Source organism: Homo sapiens, chromosome X (assembly GCF_000001405.40).
Source record: "Homo sapiens chromosome X, GRCh38.p14 Primary Assembly".
Classification (NCBI taxonomy): Eukaryota; Metazoa; Chordata; class Mammalia; order Primates; family Hominidae; genus Homo; species Homo sapiens.
The window spans coordinates 10180780-10201137 of NC_000023.11; the positions used below are offsets into that span (position 1 = coordinate 10180780).

The 20358-nt window shown below is 44.8% G+C and overlaps 1 protein-coding gene across 2 annotated transcripts in view, besides 1 other annotated feature; it reads left to right on the forward strand.

The window, feature by feature from the left end:
• The window catches only part of CLCN4 (chloride voltage-gated channel 4), an 80686-nt gene that overhangs the window by 23805 nt on the left and 36523 nt on the right, over window positions 1–20358 (forward strand). Inside the window, exons 3-6 of one of the 2 annotated variants that reach the window (NM_001830.4) lie at window positions 4243–4397; window positions 6736–6835; window positions 14132–14319; window positions 17160–17282. In NM_001830.4, the coding sequence (NP_001821.2) occupies window positions 4254–4397; window positions 6736–6835; window positions 14132–14319; window positions 17160–17282 (555 nt within the window). In that variant the 5' untranslated portion in view covers window positions 4243–4253. The remainder of the gene's footprint in view (window positions 1–4242; window positions 4398–6735; window positions 6836–14131; window positions 14320–17159; window positions 17283–20358) is intronic. The other variant, NM_001256944.2, reaches the window with a different exon arrangement.
• Window positions 8972–9101: a silencer, noted in NCBI's record as "silent region_20656". NCBI's record gives its function as "represses an Ori minimal core promoter by ATAC-STARR-seq in GM12878 lymphoblastoid cells {active_cell/tissue: GM12878}" and the evidence as "EXISTENCE:reporter gene assay evidence [ECO:0000049][PMID:35858748]".

Here is a 20358-nt window from a genome sequence, read left to right on the forward strand (position 1 = left end):
AAAAAAAAAAAAAAAGAAAGAAAGAAAAGAAAAGAAATACTGCCACCCAAAGTCACATGCTGAAGAGACCACATGGGGATGCCACATGGAAAGAGAGAGAGGCCTGGGAACCCCAGCTGTTCTAGTCTCCAGCTGTTGAGTCTCTTGGCCCAGGCACCAGATGTGTGAGTGAACAAGCCTTCGGATGATGCCAGCTCCAGCCCCTGTCTGACCAAGACCTTGTGAAAGACCCTGGGTGAGGATGGTCTTGCTGAGTCCAATGAGACCCCAGTACCAGGATAGATAAAGATATGATGGGCTGCGTGCAGTGGCTCACACCTGTAATCCCAGCATTTTGGGAGGCTGAGGTAGGAGGATTGTTTGAGCCCAGGAGTTTGAGACCAGCCTGGGCAACATAGTGAGACCCCATCTCTACAGATAATAAAAAAAAATTAGCCAGTGTGGTGGCATGCATCTGTGGTCCCATCTTCTCAAGAGGCTGAGGCAGGAGGATCGCTTGAGTCTGGGAGGTTGAGGCTGTGTTGAGCTGTGATTGTGCCACTGCACTCTACTGTGGGTGACAGAGTGAGACCCTGAAAAAAAAAAGAAAGAAAAGAAAGAAAAAGAAAAGAAAGAAAAAGAAAGAATCCTTTGGAATGGCTAAAGAAGATGCCCCAACTGTGTCTGGGGAAATTAATGCAAGTTCCACAGATAGGGTGAAACAGAACAGGGTTCTGCAGTGTGAATAGGAGCTTTCAAGGCAGAGGAGAAGGTTCAAGGTAGAAGAGAAAAGCACATTCAAAGATACGGGTTTCTACCTGACATTTTTGGTCAAACATGGATAACCATGATTCACCTAGGGTAGCATTTTTATATTCAGCCAAGCCTTGATTCTACTTAGAATCTGTCCTTCTAGATCTTGATCTAGGTGATTTCCTGCTTTCTTTCATCTTCTAGAACCTGTTATGTTATTGCTAATACCCAACCATAAAAAGTCCAGGTTTCCTTCGAGTGTTACAGATCCCTGTTCTGAGAGCGAGCTGACCCATTCAGAGTCACTTTTAACATCAGAGCTGTAAATGACATCATTAATACTATTGTATTAATACATGCTTGTCTTCGTTGGGTCCTGGGTGAAGTGAGTTTTACTGGACAGGATCTGCTGTTGAAGAACTTGAGCCTGATTCCTTGGGGTCTTCATGCTTGGAGACCAAACCTACTGATACTTTTTTGCCTTGAGGCATTGGTTGCAAGATATAGGTGTCCTGCATTCCTTCCACAGTTCCTTTGGAGGCAAATAATGGTTGTGTAGGAGAGATGTTCTCTTGTCAGGCAGGATACTTCCAGCCTGAACTGAGGCAAATTCCACTCCACCCTCTCACTATTGGTACTGTCATGTATGGCTGCTCCAGTCCTCCCCAGAGTTGGTCTGCATTGCTCCAGCTAACTTGACCTGTCTTCCTTCCTTCAGAGCTCAAGTTCATTCTACCTATTAACCCATAATTATCATGCTGCTGAATAACAACTCCTTCAAAGGACTCAGTGGCTTAAAACAACAACCATTCATTATTTTCACAAGTCTACAGGTTGGCTGCATGGTTGGATGGGGCCAAAGTTGGCTGATCTTGGCTGGACTCACACATAAATCTGTGGTCGGCTGGACCTAGATGATTTTTTCCCCCTTTGAGATGGAGTCTCGCTCTGTCGCGCATGCTGGAGTGCGGTGGCGCAATCTTGGCTCACTGCAACTTCCACCTCCCAGGTTCAAGTGATTCTCCTGCCTCAGCCTCCTGAGTAGCTGGGACTACAGGTGCCTGCCACCACACCTGGCTAATTTTTGTATTTTTAGTGGAGACGGGGTTTCACCATGTTGGCCAAGCTGGTCTTGAACTCCTGACCTCAGGTGATCCACCCGCCTCGGCCTCCCAAAGTGCTGGGATTACAGGCGTGAGCCATCGGGCCTGGCCCCTAGATGATCTTTTAATCCCAACCTCACAATAGACACCAACACCTCCTTCTGGGTCCCCAGGGAAGTCCTCTGAGGCTCTGCAGATCAGAGCCTGTTTATTTTCCTCAGGACCACTGCATGTTCCGTCAAAGTTTAAAGATATGATTGCTCTCTACAGTGATTTTTTGTTTCAAGCATTATTGCCTGAAGTAGTTGTTTGACTAGAGATGTAGTTAAATTTTAGGTGGTATCAACTCCTTTTGAATAGACTGTCCAAGTCTCTGCGATTCTATCTGCTGGTTGGGTTTTTCTGACAAGGGCTCTCTTGGAGGGTCAACAGCCTGTCGTCTTGTTTTTCCCATCAGAGATTTTCTTTCCCACATATATTAAGAGGTTATTTTCATGTTGTTTTTGTATACATGAGAATGAAATCTTTGCTTTCTAATTTTACTCTCTTCCTCATATCATTGGTTGCTACTGACTTCTGCGATGTGATTCTTCCCTGGGCACTCATCAGGGGGTATTATTTTCAACTTGGCATGGCTCAAACCTCAAACTTTTAAAGTTTTAAAGCAGCCGAGTTGCACTGATGATCAATAAATCAATCACTGTGACCACTTTATTGCTTGTAAGGTGATTACCCTACTTTGCCCATAGTGACTCTTCAATTTGATTAAAATGCAGTTTCATTGGGTCGTGGTTGAGTCCTCTAGATATATAAATACATGAGAGAAGCCTGCACTCAAATGTTTTTATAACCACCCTTCAGATTTTTAACCATCTATGCCAGCACTTTTGTGGTCCTCATCCTATAATTCAAATTTCCATGCTCTTTGCCAAAGTAATTCTTATTTATGCATATTCCAACCTCTTGTCTCTGTAAGACTGTATTCTTTTTTCTGCTAACTGGTGGTGAGCCTTGGTCCCACTGCAAAGCATTTTCTACAGCTGAAATGAGCTCCTGTGCAATCTGTAAATCAGGCTCTGATGGTGGGAGAATATGGGAGATGGTGTTGGTTCACTCGCGATTGTTTTCCAGGTGAGGAGAGCTGGAATAGTGGGAGTAGAATTATTATCTTGGATAGGAAAGGAAGACACATTCAACTGTGCTACTGCCCTGGCAGCAGGAGCCCTTTTGACTGCATTTTAAGACATTAAAAATGAGCATCTGTCCTGGAGCTCCTTGCCCAGGGCAGCGTGCCACCAGCTTCTCATGGCTCTTGGCTCGCGGCAGGTTGTCCCACCTCCCTTGTCCAGCTCCAGGGTGGCCCCACTCACATAGAGGGCTCCTGCCATCTGCAGATTGCCTGGGCTCCCACCAACTCATTAAAGTCTTGCCAGCATTTTCACTGTGCCATTGGAGTACATTTTGAATATCCATGATGACAATCACATAGGCTGCCTGCCTGAGTGGTCCACTTTGTCTCCCATAGGAACCAATTATTGCTTTGATTACCATTATTTTCATTTAAACCCTATTTGCCCCTCCAGCCCTGTCATTTGGACACCTTGCTTTTGCAGAATGTGAGGTTTTCCAGGAATGTATATAATTAATTAATCCTCATTTGCAGATTCCATATTTGCAAATTTGCCTACTGGCTAAAATGTTATGTGTAGCCCCCCAGATCAATACTCGTGGAGCTTTCGAGGTTGTTCATAGATACGTGTGTGTGTAGAGCGACAAAAAGTGCCAGCAGTGCCCGTTCCTTGCTGAGGTCTGAGAAGGCGATGCTCTGCCTTCCTGCTTCCACTCTCCTCCTGTCAACAAGGGTCCTTTTCGTGTTCTATTTAGTGCCATGTTTTTCACAGTTTTGTGCTTTTTTTGTTGGTAATTTTGCTGTTTAAAATGGCCCTGCAATGCAGTGCTGGGAAGCTGTCTGGTGTTCCTGAGTGTAGGAGGGCTGTGACATGTTTTATGGAGAAGCCTTGTTCAGGCATGAGTGATAGTGCTGCTGGCTGTGAGGTCAATGTTAATAACTCAACAATATCTATTAGAGTGTCTTTAAACAGAAGTATATAAACAAGGTACATCTTGATTGTTTGATGAAAATGTGACCAAAGATTTTGCAGGAACTTAACCCTGTATTCTCTTGGGAACAGTAGTTCAGTATTCAGTAATTCAGTGTTTGAGGTGACTTTATAGAGCATAACCTCCACGAATAATGATAATTGACTGTGTATATATTTCATTACAGCACAGATGCCTATGCTGAAATAATTTTTCTTATATAAGAAAATAGGGCACATGGACTATTCTTCTTGCATGGCCATGGCATGTCCTGCTCATGTCTTTAACGACCGGTTTTCTTGCCCAGGTGTAATTAGCATGGTCAATGCGGGAGCGATGAGTGGCTCTGGAAACCTGATGGATTTCCTCGATGAGCCGTTCCCTGATGTGGGGACGTATGAGGACTTCCACACCATCGACTGGCTAAGGGAAAAGTCACGGGACACCGACAGACACAGGAAGGTAGGTGGCATTCCGAAAGGACACACTGCAAATGGCTAAGCCATGTTTTCATTCAAAAGTTACTGAGCTGGGGCTTAGGTCCACGTACGTGTCATGTGCTGGGTTAGGGTCTAAAGAAGAAAAGAGCCAGTGGGAGGAGCAGATATATTGGCAGATCATTGTACTAGCAGGAGCTTTGGGCAGGACGTTGTGTCATATGGAGGGATTGTGGTGTGGAGGAGAGGGAGGGGACTTTGCAGGTGCCATTTCTGGAACCTGTTTTCTCATCCATGAGGATGGAAGTGATTATGCCTGAAAAGGAAATGAGATTATGTGTATATGAAAGCACATATGACAGTGCCTGGTGTCTAGTTGGCAATCAGTATATATTTTAATGGACCACAATGGTTATCTGTCAAGTGCTGTGGGATCATTTAGGTTCGGTTAGGGAAGGGTTTTTCAGCAAGGGTAACATTTCAGTTGGGTCTTGAAAGATGACTAAGATTTTGCTAGGCAGAGGAACGGTGAGGATTCTAAACATCAGGAATGCCCCCCTTTTTTAAGTCACAGAGGCATGAAAGAATCTGATGTATCTGGGCAATTCAGGGAGCTCCGAGGATCTGGTGGAGGATTCCTGCAGAGGGAGGGATAGGGATGAGTGTGGAAATGGAGGCAGCAGGGCCACGTGGGGAACGGCCATGCTGGCGGTGGAGAGGAGTTTGCATTTCATGCTGAAAGCCACAGAAGACAATAAAGATGCGCTGCAAAGGGAGAAACAGGAAGCTTGGAAATGAGTCCAGGAGACCGAAGGCAGTGATGTGTAGGTGGAGAGAGGGGATCAGGATGGAGAGGTATTTTGAGGCGCCACGGACGGGATTCAGGGGAGGTGCTGGGGCCAGGAGGGGAATGGGGTCACAGAACACCAGGCTTTGGCCTGATGAGGATGATGCCTTTGATGCCTAGAGGAAGCAAGGGGGGACTGGCAGACTGCGGAGGAGGCCATTGAGTTCTGTGTAGATGCGTTGGTTTGAGCTGCGCTGCGGATGGGTGATCACAGGTGGCGAGAACTCTGTGGTTCAAGGGTGAGGGAAGGGCCGGGGGGAGAATGAGGTCCCTGTGTGCAAGTGGAGGCTGAAGCTTTAGAAACAGCCACGGTGGCGTGGGTGTGCAGAGACAGAAGGGAAGAGGTAGTCAAATCCCCAGGCAGTGCCCAGAGTTACCAGGTCCAGGGGAGGCAGATGGGGAGCCTGTGACAAGAGGGGACCCTGCCAAGAGCAGTCCCCTGTGAATGGAAAGGGTGTTGTGTAGGGGCCTGCTCACAAGGTCACCCTCTATGGAGAGGTCAGGTAGGAGGCGAGCCAGCGGCATGGGGGCTGGCGGTGAGGGGAGAGCTGCTTCAGACGAGGGTGAGGAGTGACATGGACAGTGTGACCATGTCACATCGCCTCACGAGGGCTGGCACGAAAGGAGGAGGGGAATGTGTAGGGAGCCAGGCTCAGTCATGAAGATGTTGCAGCCTCTTGGCTCTGCAGTGCAGGAATGTGGGGTCGAGGCAGCATTCCCTCTAGAGCACAGCTCAGCAGACTGCATCCTGCGGGCCAAAGCCAGCTGGCACCTTGTTTTAGAAATAAAGTTTTATTGGAACTCAGCCATGCCCATCCATTTCCATATTTTTATGACTCCTTTTGTGCTACAGTGGCAGGGTTGAGGAGTTGCAACGGAGACCATCCGGCCCGCAAAGCCCAAAATATTTACTCTCTGGTCCTTTACAGAAAACATTTGCCCACCACTGCTCTAAAAGGCCGTGAGGGAATGATGATCTCAGAGGAGCATAGGATTCTGTTAGCACAGGGAGGTGTGTGTAGGTAGTCCATCTGCTGTGGGAGACGTGATCTGTGCCAGCTAATTCTAAGTTCGTGCTGCTAAAATTTAACCTTGAAAACAAAAGGAGGAGATGAAGTCTGTGTGAAGAGGCTTTTTAATGAAACTTAGCAATGTAAGTTAAGATAGTAACTCATATTCAGAATGGAGACACCGAACCAATGTCCCCCTTCAGCATAGCTTTTAAATCATCAAAGATCAAATCACATTTAGTATGTTTTTTAATTAAGTGAATTATTTGAGTGTGTGCTCGAATTCTTTGGAGACTTTTGTGGCATCTTTATAGCTCTGTGAACTAGAAAGCTCGTCGTACCGTTGCGGCACATAACTGAAAGAATCACATCAGTGGGAATTTAGCTGCTTGATGACATTCATTTTATTTTCTTAATTACCCTGTTTCCCGAGGAAACAGTTTCAAGGAAAAAAGCATGAATTCGAAAATGCATTCGGATCAGTTGCTGTATCTGCTTTGTTCTAGATCACCAGCAAGAGCAAGGAGTCCATATGGGAGTTCATCAAGAGCCTGCTGGATGCCTGGTCGGGATGGGTGGTGATGCTGCTCATCGGCCTGCTGGCGGGTACGTGGATGGGCATGCGGCACTCCCGTGGGAAGCTGCAGAGGCCGAAACCTCAAAACACGAACCCTCTGGGAGATTTGGAATATAGCGCGTGTCGCTTGTCGCTTTTACCCCTGTGGGAGGGATTTATTACTTGAAATATCTAAGGGCAAAATGCATGGCTGTATATTTAACCTAAAATCCATCATCAATAAGGCATGCCCAAGGCATGAGCTCAGGCACAGGCTTCTGAAGAGCTGTGACGATAGAGCTGGTAGCCTTTCCACACAGAGCAGAGTTTTCTTACTATACCGGATTTGACTGAAAACACACATTTTTTTTGGAAACGGTCTTGTTCCATTGCCCAGGCTGGAGGGCAGTGGAATGATGCCAGTTCACTGCAGCCTCCACCTCCCGGGGTTGAACAATCCTCCCACCTCAGCCTCCTGAGTAGCCAGGACCACAGGCATGCGCCACCATGCTCAGCTAATTTTTGTTATTTTTTCATAGAGATGGGGTCTCACTGTGTTGCTCAGGCTGGTCTCAAACTCCTGGGCTCAAGCCATCCTCCTGCCTCAGCCAAAGTGTTGGGATTACAGGTGTGAGCCACTGAGCCCAGCCAAGCACACATTTTATATTCGGTTATTCTTGATTATGTAGATGACAACAAAATCAGGGACTGTTTTATCTTCAATAACAAAATGTCATATGAGATTGCCTTTTGCTACTACTGGTAGGCTCTGGGATGAACTGGAAACATCCTGCAACAGTCAGCACCATGCTAGACACCCACGGGAGCTGAGGCAGGCCCAGGGGCCTCCATCATCCTGACCCTCAGGAACTCTGCATCTTTCCTTTTTAGAATCCCAACACCGTGTTTGCGAGCAGTAGATGTTTCCAGAGTAAATGGATGCTATCTGGAGGGGAAACACGTCTTTTTAATATCAAACGCACCAGCCCTTCCGGGAAATAGTTTCCTGAAACTTATGTCCTTTTAGGAGATTGTGAAGGTTAATGTCTAAGAATAAAAAATTTGGCATGACGAAGAGGTTTCCTTAATAAAAATCCCCTGCATATAACAACATAATAGTTATGGTTAGAGAACAGATCAGGGAATTGACTAGAACACAGGCAGAATATATGTAGTAAGTGGTCTAAGAAGGACAGAACACAAATGGGGCACAGATAGAGTTTTGTGATTCCAGGGGCTTTCAGTTTCCAGGTGATCTTGATTTATTCCCTAGCTCATCGGAGGAGGGGCTTGGTTGCCAGGGAAGGGCTCTACCTCCCTCACCTGCCTCAGCATTCCGTAAAGAGCTAAGAGGAATGCTCAGAGGGGGAGTTCTTTCCTACTAGTCACAGATGCTGTCTGTCCGTTTCTCCAAGCCTGTCCTTCCTTTACCAGTGGCATTTCCCGTCATGTACTGGCAGCAGCCAGGGCAGGAAATTAGACTTCATTGTCACAAGGGATTGGACGACCAATTTTGCTTGACTGCTTCTATAAAGGCCTTTGAAGGTGGGCCAGGTGGGAGTTTGCTATGAATTTTGATGTCCTTATTTAGAGTAGATTGATAAAACCTTATAGTGTGTCATTTTTCTTGGCTCGTAGGAAGGAGAAATAAATAGGGTAAATGAAGAAACTCAGAACAGGAATAGATGTTCTGATAACGGCACAGCTTAGATTCATTGACTGACCTAGGAGCCCAACTGGGCTGACTTTAATCTGATTTTGACCAGCTGGCTTTATTATCCACTTGATTTCCATCAGCTCTTTCACGAGGGGGAATTAAAAACAATATGCTGCTGCCCTGGCTTCACTTAAACAGTATCTCTGGAGAGGACCTCTAGCTTGAATACAGCCTGCCCCTCCCCTCTGTGATTGTAATGTGCAGCCAGGGGTGAGCACCACTGGCCAAAGGAGAGCCCATGCGCACGTCAGCAGGGGAATACATGGGAGGGTGAGAATGGGGTGATGCTGAAAATGAAGGGACTACAGTGTTCTTTTGATTTGGATGCACTTTGAAGGGACAGCCAGAGAGCCACGTCCCACTCACTTCCCCCTTCCTCGCTGGACTAACAGTGGAGAGGACCTGGGGTCTCACTGCCTGGCCGGCTGTCCCCTCAGTGGCTGTTGTCTTCGGACTCCCCTCATGGGTAGGCCCACAGCATCTCCGCATGTGCTTATCAGAAGTCACCGCTAGGTGTCACTGTTGGACCACGAAAGAAAGCTGAGGCCTGCTGAAGCGCAGTCAGAACCAGAATCAGCAAGGAAGATTGGGTGTGCAGTAGGGGGGTTGTGAATGAATGAATAATGATGAAACTTGGGGTGATCATCCTGTTTGCCCCTGGATATCTGCAGGACCCTCCCATCTTCTTCACCTTCTTCTTCAAATACTGCACGATGTCACTTATCTGTGGAGTCCAAAAAAATAAAACCAGTGTCATAGAAACAGAGTAGAAAGGTGGCTGCTAGAGGGAGGGGTGGGGACAGGATGGGGAAAGAGATGTTGATCAGAGGGCGTAAGTTTCAGTTAGACTGGAGGAATAAGCTTTAGTGAGCGGTCGCACTGCATGGTGACCACAATTAATGATCATGTATTGTATATTTCAAAATTGCTAAAAGAGTAGACTTTAATAATCTCACCACAAAAATAAACTGGGGAGGTGATTCGGTTGGTGCGAAGGTAATTGTGGTTTTTGCCATTAAAATAACGGCATGATCGGATCTTTAATTAGCTCGATCAAGTCTTTCTATAATGTATACATAGATCAAAACATGACATTGATATACACAATTATTATGTGTCAGTTTTAAAAAGTTAAAAAATCAAGATAATGAGCTCTTTGCCTTTGTTTTTCCTGTGGAAAAACAAAGAACTGTGGATAGTTCTAAATTTGACATTACCGGACCCTGTGGAAAGACCTCATGAAATACTAAATATTATGGTTCTTGCGTGCTGTTGCTAGGGGGCAGTGTTTACTTAGCTGACTCTGCAAACTAGCATTAAGCGGAACCAAGCTTGCATCCAGGATTTCATGATCTAGAGAAAATACTTTGAGCATGTAGGATTTCTTTTCACTGGGTTTCAGTTTCCAACTTTAAATCAGGAAATAGTTTTCACCATTCCACAAGGTATATGTACTTCAAAACATCATGTTGTATATGATTACAACATACAATCTTATGTGTCCATTTTAAAATGAAAGAATAAATCAGGAAATAGCTAATGATATCTCTAACTTAATTAGACTAATTATATATATTTGTATATTTGGAATCAAGTCTTTCATTATTGAATTGCATGTTTAAAAATTTCAAACCTGTCTGATATTTAAAATTTAAAAAACAATAAAATTACATCCCTCTCTCTGTAAGCCTCACCTCCCTCACCTGCTCTATGGATGTATATATGTATGTATGTAAAGCTTTATTGAAATATAACTCACATTCCATATAATTCACCCATTTAAAGTATACAATTCAGTGGTTTTTAATGTATCACAGAGTTGTACAACCATCACCGTGGTCGATTTTAGAATAATTTTATCATGCCCAAAAGAATCATTATACCCTGTAGCTATCAAGCCCCTGCTCCCCAACCATCCCCCTTCCAGCCCTAGGCCACTGTTAACCTGCTTTCTGTCTCTATGGATTTGCCTATTCTGGGCATTTCATATAAATGGAATCATACAATATGTGGTCTTTGTGATTAACTTATTCTACTCAGCATAATATGTTCAAAGTTTGTCCATGTTGTAGCACGTGTCAGTACTTCATTCCTTTTCACTACCAAGTACAATTCCATTGTATGGATAGACCACACGTTGTTTATCCACTTATCCATTGATGGATATTTGAGTTCTTTCTACTTTGTGACTATTTTGAAGAATGCTGCTATGAACATTTTTGTTCAAGTGTTTGTGTGCATGGATGTTTTCATTTCTCTTGGGTATATGCCTAGGAATAGAATTGGTTTTTTTGAGACAGGGTCTGGTTCTGGCGCGATCATGGTTCGTTACAGACTGGGCTTGAGCAATCTGCCTGCCTCAGCCTCCTGAGTAGCTGGGACTATAGGCGCGTGCCACCATATCTGGTTAATTTTTTTTTTTTTTTTTTTTTTTTTTTTGTAGAGACAGGATCTTGTCATGCTGTTCAGGCTAGTCCTGAACTCCTGGCCTCAAACGATTTGTCCACCTCGGCCTTCCAAAGTGCTGGGACTACTGGCATAAGCCACTGCGCCTGGCCCTTATACTTTTTAACAGAGCCTTTAATATACTTATTTTCTCCTGTCCCAGGTACAGTTACACAAAGGCAGGGGCCTGGGTCTACTCTTTGCACTGCTGTATTCCCAAGACATGGATGAGTAACTGCCGTGTAGTAGGTACATGTTCAGTAACTATCCCTTGAATGAATGAATGGACCTGAGTTTTCTGATTTTTTCATTCATTTATTTATTGCAATATTTTATTCAACATGGATATATAGTGCCAACCATGCACCTGACATGGATATAACAATGGACAAGACAGATAGGGTCCTTGCCCACTTAGAGTGGACACAGGGTCTGGATGCCAGGCCTGACCCCCCACTGTGGTATGAAAACCAAACAATGAAACCTTTTTTACCCACCACTTATAGACTAGTGGAAGTACACACACACACACACACACACACACACGGAGAAAAAGAGAAAGAGAGCTAATTGTGATATTAGGATGCGAGAGGTGTGGTGATGGGGAAGGACAGGCAGCCACAGGAATGCCAGGGAAGTACACCTAACCCAGGCTTAGGAAATCAGGAAAGACTTCCCAGAGGAGGTGATATAAATGCTGGAATCTGGATGATAAGTAGGAGTCTGATGGGAGGGGAGGGCAGTGCTTGCTGAGATGGTGCAGGTAGGAGAGCGTGGCACATTCCAGGAACATGGAGTGGGCAGGGTGTGGGGAGTTAGTGAGGGAAAGAGATGAAGCTGGAGAGATCTGAGGGGCCAGCTGTCAGGGTGGGTGACCTGTTGAGGATTTGGGTGTTCTCCCAAGAATAATGGGTAACCATGGCAGGGCTTTCCACAGGGGAGTGGCACAGGTCAGTCTGGCATTTGGAAAGCCTATTTGACCACAGTGTGGAGAGGCCATGAATGGGGCAGGACTGAGGCTGGAGACCAGAGAGGAAGCTCCTGCAGCAGTCCAGCCAGCAATGACTTCAACACGGTGATCTGAAAGACAGCCCGAGTGGGGATGGGGGAAACTGCAGTGATTCAAGAGAGATTTCAGAGGTGGAGCTGCTGGGATATGGGGATTGCCTGGAAGGGGGTTGCTTTCCCAGATTTCTAGTTTGCACAGTAGTGTGCCTGGATGGTGGGTTCCTCTCCCAGTTGGGACGAAGCTGAGGCTGGGAGGAGGATGCTTTAGTTCGGTGTCGGATGGTGGTGGACTGAAGTGGAGATATCTAGTAGACCCAAGAAGGCAAATAGACTTGTGTTCTTTGACAATGCCCATTCATTGGCTTTGACTGCCTGGGGCTTTGCTACAAAGATTTGGGAGGGTAGGTCCACAAGTGTGTGTCATGATTGATTAGTGATGTCTGTCATGGGCATGTCAAAAGAATTGTGAAGGGGAATCCAATAGAGTGTGCTATTATTGATTGGTGATGTCTGCTGTGGGCATCGGAAGCTGACGGCTGGGCTATGTAGTGATTGGCTCTGTAATAGCCAGTGGGCTCTATGTGCTTGGAAAAGCATAGCTTGAGATGTACATTTATACCTAATGGTAAATAGTAGGATATGAATAAGGTTGCCAGGGTTGAGAGCATAGTATAAAAAGAGAAAAGGGTTTAGGGTCAAGCTTTGAGGAAATGGCCTTTAGAAGTTGGGTGGAGGAGTCAGAAAGATCAGAGGAGTCAGAGCAAACCAGAGAGTGAGGAGGAAAGCAGGAGAGCATGATGTGGAAGCCACGGGAAGAGGTGTTTCTGGAAGGGTGGAGTGGTCAACAGAGTCAGATGATGCTGAGAGCTCTGGAACTGGGGTCAGCAAACTTTTTCTGCAAGAGGCCAGAGAGTAAATATTTTCAGGTTTGTGGCCCATGTGGTTTCTATCTCAGCTCTTCAGTTCTGCCACTGTAGCATGAAGGCAGCCACAGAGTGCATGTAATTGAATGGTGTAGCTGTGCTCCAATAAAACTTTATTTACAAAAACAGGCTGTGGGCCAGATTTGGCCCATGGGCTGTAGTTTGTGGATCCTGTTCTAGAGGAATGAGCTAAGGCCATTGCCTTAGCTGCATGGGAATCTCCTGGTAGATTGAGGGGATGGACTGGGCCAAGGGAAGGAAAGAGATTGGATGGTGACTAGAGGGAAAGTGGAAACAGGGAGGGTTTTTTTTTTTTAATGTTTAAATGCTGATGGCAAGGAGAGGAAGAGGTTGAAGATACAGGAGAAGGAAAGGGGAATGGGAAGAACGAGGCCCCATGGAGGAAGGAGATGTAGAGCTGAGGTGGGCGGTGTCCGATGCAACACCAGGAGAAGAGAAGGGAGGGGTGAGTGCTGATGCCAGGTGTGGATGCTTTTGGTGAGGATGTGGATGCAGAACCGATCCTGTAATAATGATGCAGTGAAAAGGCTGAAAAATGAAGATGCTTGAAAGCATTCTCTGCCTTTGTGAGAGATGAGAATGCATTATTCTGGAAAGAGACCCAAGGCCGCCTTTTGTGATCCATTCAACTGCACATTCCGTTTTCTCCCATTTCTATTGGCTTTTAAAATACTTATTTAGTTTTATAGACCCATAATTCTTTATAATTTAAATAATGCAGAGAGTTTTAATAAACAGGATCTTCCCGAATTTGGTTCTCATTTGGTGGCAAAACCTTACTCATTTATGATGTGAGGCCGTCGTAGTTGTTATGAGTCCATTTTGTCTGAATTATCATGTTTCCCTGAGAAATATTAATGTGTGTGATTCTAGGATCCTGCCCCAGAAGCCATTGAGAGAGTTCTGTCTTTTACACTATAAATACCCAATGTCAAAAACTTGGAAAGGGAAAAATTGCAAAAGTTGCTTGTCTCTCCTACCCAGTTCAAGCTACTGAACCCTTTGTATTTCTCATTGGGCTTGTGCTGCCTTGCCCATAACATAAATGTTCAAGTGCTGCAAGTTTAATGAAAGAAGCTTCCTATGTAAGTGACAGCCCCATTGCAAGTTTATTGCCTGCTCTGGAATCTGGGCCATCATTGCTGATGTGCCCCTGTCTGGCCGCCGTGTTGGTCTCATTCTTGTCGCATCATGGGGCGATTCCTCTTAGTGGCTCGTGTTACTTCTTCCAGGCACCTTGGCTGGGGTCATCGATCTCGCCGTGGACTGGATGACGGACCTGAAGGAGGGGGTCTGCCTGTCTGCCTTCTGGTATAGCCATGAGCAGTGTTGCTGGACTTCTAACGAGACCACTTTTGAGGACAGAGACAAGTGTCCCCTGTGGCAGAAATGGTCGGAGCTGCTGGTGAATCAGTCAGAGGTGGGTATTTGGGCAGGGTCCTGGCTGGGGACCCCTGCCGTTCCATGCGTGCTTGGGAATGCTGCTGGGAGATTTGTGAATGTCTGTGATTTCACCTTCAAGTGCCTGCTCTGAAGTTCGTGGCTTAACACTAGATGACGGGCTTTTTCCAGCTCTAATGCTACCACTCAAACTTCACTTGCAAAACCCTTCCCCACTGTTTCATGTGCACAATGCATATATATATATATATACACTTTAAGCCTCATATTTGGCTTTATCTTGTTATATTTGGCTTTATTTTTTCTTACCGAAGGTGGTTTGCTGATCATGCTGAAGAAACAAGGTTGACTTTGATATCTTCTAATTGAGAAGAACATAACTTTTTAAGTTATCCTTTAAAAAAAACAGCTTTAGTGAGATAAATTCACAGTTCACATTGTTCACCCGTTTAAAGTGTACGATTTAATGCTTGTAGTATATTCAGTTTTGCAGCCGTTACCACAATCTAATTTTAGAACATTTTCGTCATCCTTTCCAAAACTCTGTCTCCATTAGCAGTCACTCCCATGTCCCCCAACCTGCCAGCTCTGAGCAACCACTAATCTACCTTTTGTCTCTCTAGATTTGCCTCTTCTGGATGTTTCATGTAAATGAAATCATACAATGTGTGGACTTTGTGTCTGGCTTCTTCCACCTAGCATCATGTTTCCAGACTTCTTCCTATTGTAGCATGAACCATTACTTCATTTTTTTATGGCCGAATAATATTCTATTGTATGAATGGACCACATTTTATTTATCCATTTGTTGGTTGCTTTTGCTTTTTGGCTATGATGAATGATGTTGCTATGAACATTTCTGTACAGGTTTTTGTGAAGACATATGTTTCATTTCTCTCAAGTATATATCTGGGAATGGAGTTGCTGGGTCAGATGGTTACTCTATGTTTAACCTTTTGAGCAGCTGTCAGACTGTTTTCCAAAGTAGCTGTACCATTTTACATTCCCACCAGCAGTGTATGAGACTTCCAATTTGTCCACCTTCCTGTCAGCACTTGTTATTATCTGTTTTTGATTATAGCCATCCTAGTGGTTATGAAGTGGCATCTCATTGTGCTTTCAGTCATCTTCCATTGCATTTTATGACCACATTATAGAGGATGTTCTGGGCCTTCTATAAAGAGAATGCCCTAGGCACAGGAGATAATAGTGGTGAACCACAGACCTATAGCATTTAGAGCTTCAGATCTTTATTAAAATCTTAGTTCAGGAAAGAGTTAACTTCTAACCCATTTCAGTGGTTACCACCATGACTATGAGTTATTAAAGGATCAGAAAGCCACGTGAGGAGGAACCAGGTTGTCAAGCTTCACATTAGGGGTAATGTGAGGATCTCTCAAGCTAGAACTAATCTTTCAAGGTATATGTAATCTATTTATACATCTCCTCCCTTCCCCACTTTTTTTTTTTTTTTTTGCCTGACTGACTTACCACAGCTGAAGACATTTGGAATGCACTTTGCCATTTTTGCTAAACCTCTTTCTCAGTGGAATTGAAAATTAATTCCTTCAAATCTCAGAAGGAGACAGGGATCTTGAAATCTCACATGTTCTCAGTGCTCTCCATTACTTCCAAAAAGAAATTCTCTACTTGGGTTGATGGGAGCGGGCAGACAGAATTGGCTGTGCGCCATATTTTTATTCTTCTCTCCTACTTGCAATGTGTGTTTTGGGGAAATACAGCCATCCATCTTTTCAGCTGTTTTTAAGATTTATACTTTGATTCGAAGAATTACCTTTAGTAAGAGTGAGAGTTATTTTTAGCCTCCAAAAAAGTACATATTTAAGTGGGTGAAAGGTATTTCTTAGTCCGATTTCTCACCGCATAGGGTGTGAATATATGTGCTTGTAAAGGCCAGAGCAGTCTCCTGGAACGTGTTTTTGCATTTAATAGGCACACATGTGGCTGTCCATGGCCTGACTTGTAGGTGACCTCTCTTTTCTGCCCCCTTTACTTAAGTAATCCAGATGGTGGCAAGAAGCTGAGGTCTAGAGAGTGTGGTCTGTACCCAGCAGACCAGGCCTTTCACGCATAGGACCCCAGACTGTGTTTTTGGTTCAGAAAACCTTCTCCATACATCAGATAATTTGGAATAAATGGTTCAATGAATTATTCTGAAAGTGATCACGTTTTTCTTCTCTGATAGTGCCTCTCAAATGTTAGTGCGCATAGAACCTCCTGGAGGGCTTGTTAAAACATATTGACCTGGGCCCCAGCCGGGAGTGTCTGGTGTCTGGTTCAGCAGTTCTCGGGTGAGGCCTGAGAGTCTGCATGTCTCATAAGCCACTGATGTGGCTGGACCATGGACCCCACCCTGAGCAGCAGTATTCTAAAATACAGGCCCGACCCGTATTCATTGGCAGTGCGGGTGCTTGCTGTGCTTGGGCGTGGCCTTAATGAAAGCTAAGAGAGACCAAGCCACCACAGACAAGACAAAACTAATCTGCCAGGGTCTCGGAGGCAGGATTTTCTGCATCACACCTTTGATTAACTCTATGCAAGTGGTGATTAAAACCAAGCATCATCCACGGTTTCCATTACTGCTGAGCCTTCCCTGTGTAGAAGGCGCGTGTAAACAGCTCCCAGAGAAACACCCGCTGCTCTGTTTGTGTGTACTGACTGTAGCAATAGCAACAGCTGATAAACCTACGCTGGCCTTTTGGTTTATACAGGACTGGGACCAAACCTGCCCAATCCCGTCAAAGCTTTTGTTGTCAAGACAGATGGGGAGGGGTTGAGTCTGTTGCTCAGGTCAGCTGTGGCTAATGTTTCCTTTTGTGTTTTGTGTCTGTTGTCTAGGGTGCCAGTGCTTACATTCTGAATTACTTAATGTACATCCTATGGGCGCTGCTGTTTGCATTTTTGGCTGTCTCCCTGGTGCGTGTATTTGCACCATATGCCTGTGGCTCTGGCATACCAGAGGTGAGTTCTGGCTGATTTTTTTGGTACCAATAATAAGAATAGCAAATTCTTCTGTAGCACTGTCATGCCAAGCACAGTTCCAAGCGTTTTACTTCTACTAACTCATTAAGTTTCTCAATAAGACTATGACGTAGGTACTATTATTCTGCATTTGATAGTTGACGAAACTAAAGCACAGAGAGGTTAAGTGACTTGCCCCAGGTAACCAAGCTGGTAAGCTGTGAGTTGAACCCAGTGTTCTGACTTCAGGATTTACACACTGTCTTCAAGATTTCTGTGCTATTGCTTCTCAGATGATAAAAGCCTTGTCTTTGTAAACCAGGCATAACTCTTAAAGCCTGTGGAATCAGAGTTCATTAACCACACACATAAACACGCTGTAATAACTCATCAGTGCATCTGTGATGTAATGTGAGAGACGATAGTGGAGGTTTGTTGCTGTGAAAGTTCACTGATGATGAAATCTCTCTTGCCATGTTTTGCTCTTCTGGTGGCAAGCTAATAGCAATCTTTTAAAAACCTGAATTCTGCCTTTAATACATGTACTGTGAACGTACCCCCGTGAATTTCGAGTTCTTATAAATAGTTTTCAGCACTTTCATGTAACCGAAGCATGAGGGAAGTGACCTCACCGATTAAGAGGAGTGCCTGAGACCAAACTTGAAACCTATGAGGACCTACTGGGCAGAATCATGATAATTGAGCTGATTCCCGAAAAGCCCAGATGGTGGAAATTTTAGCCAGAAGTAATTTTAAAAGTTCTGGTATTATCACTGTAATCCATGCAGTTCAGTTCTCCTTTGGGTTGATGCCTTAGCGATGCACACAGGCAGTGGGCTAGAGAGTTTGAAGATGTAGTTGTGGGCTGAGTATGGCAGTAAATCCACACCCTTTGGGAGGACCCTGCAGCCCTGATGGTGGTCCAGGCAGTTTGCAGAAAGGGCTGAAGTCATGAAAAGACAATCAGAGGCAAAATTCAACATGGTCTTGTTTCAGGAAAGATAGAAAAAAGAAGTCTTAATATGTCATGCTGAATTTTTGATGGTTGATGTTAACATATTGCTTCAGGAACCTGAAAAATAAGCTGTATTACCAACCTGTTTTCTCAGCGCAGCCAGTTCTGCTATAATGCAACATACGCATTCCTAAAAATCACCATGCCATGCAAAATCACACAACAGAAACCACAGGGCTTTATGGGGAACATGAATTAGGGGCACAATACACAAAACTTCATCACTGACACATATGACAAAAAGAGGAACCTAGTAAAAACAGGAGCACAGCTGTACACATTAAGTGGCTAAGAAATATGTAAATACCACAATAAATATGTCACTTCCTGCAAAGAACTTGAAGTTTGCTTGTGGAAGTGGGTGTCGCAAGGGCTGCAACTTACGCGTTGCTGTGAAGGGCATAAGGAAGGTTATCTGAAGTTGTAGGGGAAGTTGAGACAGCAGGCGTAGATGGGTGTGGCACCCTGGCATATGTGTGAACCGGTAGATGTTTGACTCGTGTATTTTGTGTTTTCCTACATGACTGGGTGCAATTTTCTGCATTTACCTGGTATTTCTCCTGGAGGAAATGCGCATAAATAGACATAAAATTTGAGTTATGCTCAAATTCCTCCCTAACATGAGTGGCATTGGAACAAATTTGCATTTTCTTTTTTTCTTTTTCCTTTTCTTTTTCTTTCTTTCTTTTTTTTCTTTTTTGAGACAGAGTCTCGCTCTGTTGCCCAGGCTGGAGTGCAGTGGCACAATCTCGGCTCAGTGCAACCTCCGTTTCCCAGGTTCAAGCGATTCTCATGCCTCAGCCCCCCAAGTAGCTGGGGTTGCGGATGTGTACCACCATGCCTGGCTAATTTTTTTTTTGGTTTTATTTTTAAGTAGAGACGGGGTTTCACCATGTTGGCCTAGCCTCATGTGATCCATCCGCCTCGGCCTCCTAAAGTGTTGGGATTACAGGCGTGAGCCGCCACGCCTGGCCTTCTTGTTTTTTTATTGTTTTATATAGAGACGAGGTCTCACTCTATTGCCCGGGCTGGTCTCAAATTCCTGGGCTCAAGTGATCCTCCCGCCTCAGCCTCCTGTGGAGCTGGGACTGCAGGCACGTGCCACCATGCCCAACTAATTTTTGTATTTTTTTGTAGGTTTTTGCCATGTTGCCCAGGCTGGTCTTGAAATCCTGGGCTCAAGCAATCCTCCCGCCTTGGCCTCCCAAAGTGCTAGGATTACAGGAGTGAGCCACAGTGCTTGAGGCAAATTTGCATTTTCCAACCAAGTGTCGTAGCAGAGCTGACTGTATTTTATTTGATGTCTAAAACATCTCAGTTTGTGATCCCACTGCCCAACAGTAGGCATTTTTGACTCAAGCATTTTGCAAATAAGGAGATGGCCGATGGGGAATTGGTGGAAAATAGAAGCAGTAAGAGGCACACTGGGTAGTCCCATCTCTCCCTTCCAAGAACTGTAGATGTGTGGCTCAGCTGGTGTCCTTATAGACAGGGAGTTCGAATATCAGTTCTATCTTTGAAGGGCTGGCTGGACTTTGTCATCATCTAAATTGGGCATTTTATTGGTGATAGCTGAACTCAGAAGGAGTAAAATACTGAGTTGAGGATTTGTTTCTTTTCTTTTCTTTTTTTGACAAGGTCTCACTCTGTTGCCCAGGCTGGAGTGCAGTGGCATGATCACAGCTCACTGCAGCTTTGAACTCCCAGTTTCAGGCAGTCCTCCTGCCTCAGCCTCCTGAGTAGCTGAGACTATAGGTGTGCATCATCATACCTGGCTAATTTTTGTACTTTTTGTAAAGGTGGGCTTTCACCATGTTGCCCAGACTGGTCTCTAACTCCTGGGCTTAAGTGATTCGCCTGCCTTGGCCTCCCAAAGTGCTGGGATTACAGGTGTGAGCCACTGTACCTAGCTGAGCATTTGTTTCTTATGTGACAAAAGTGCAAGGGATACATAGACATGGATGAAATTAAAAAATGTGATGTTAAGTGAAAAAGCAAGTTTTACAAGGAGAAAGTATGATTGATAGAACGTCTATAAACAGCTAAAATGAAAAAACGTAT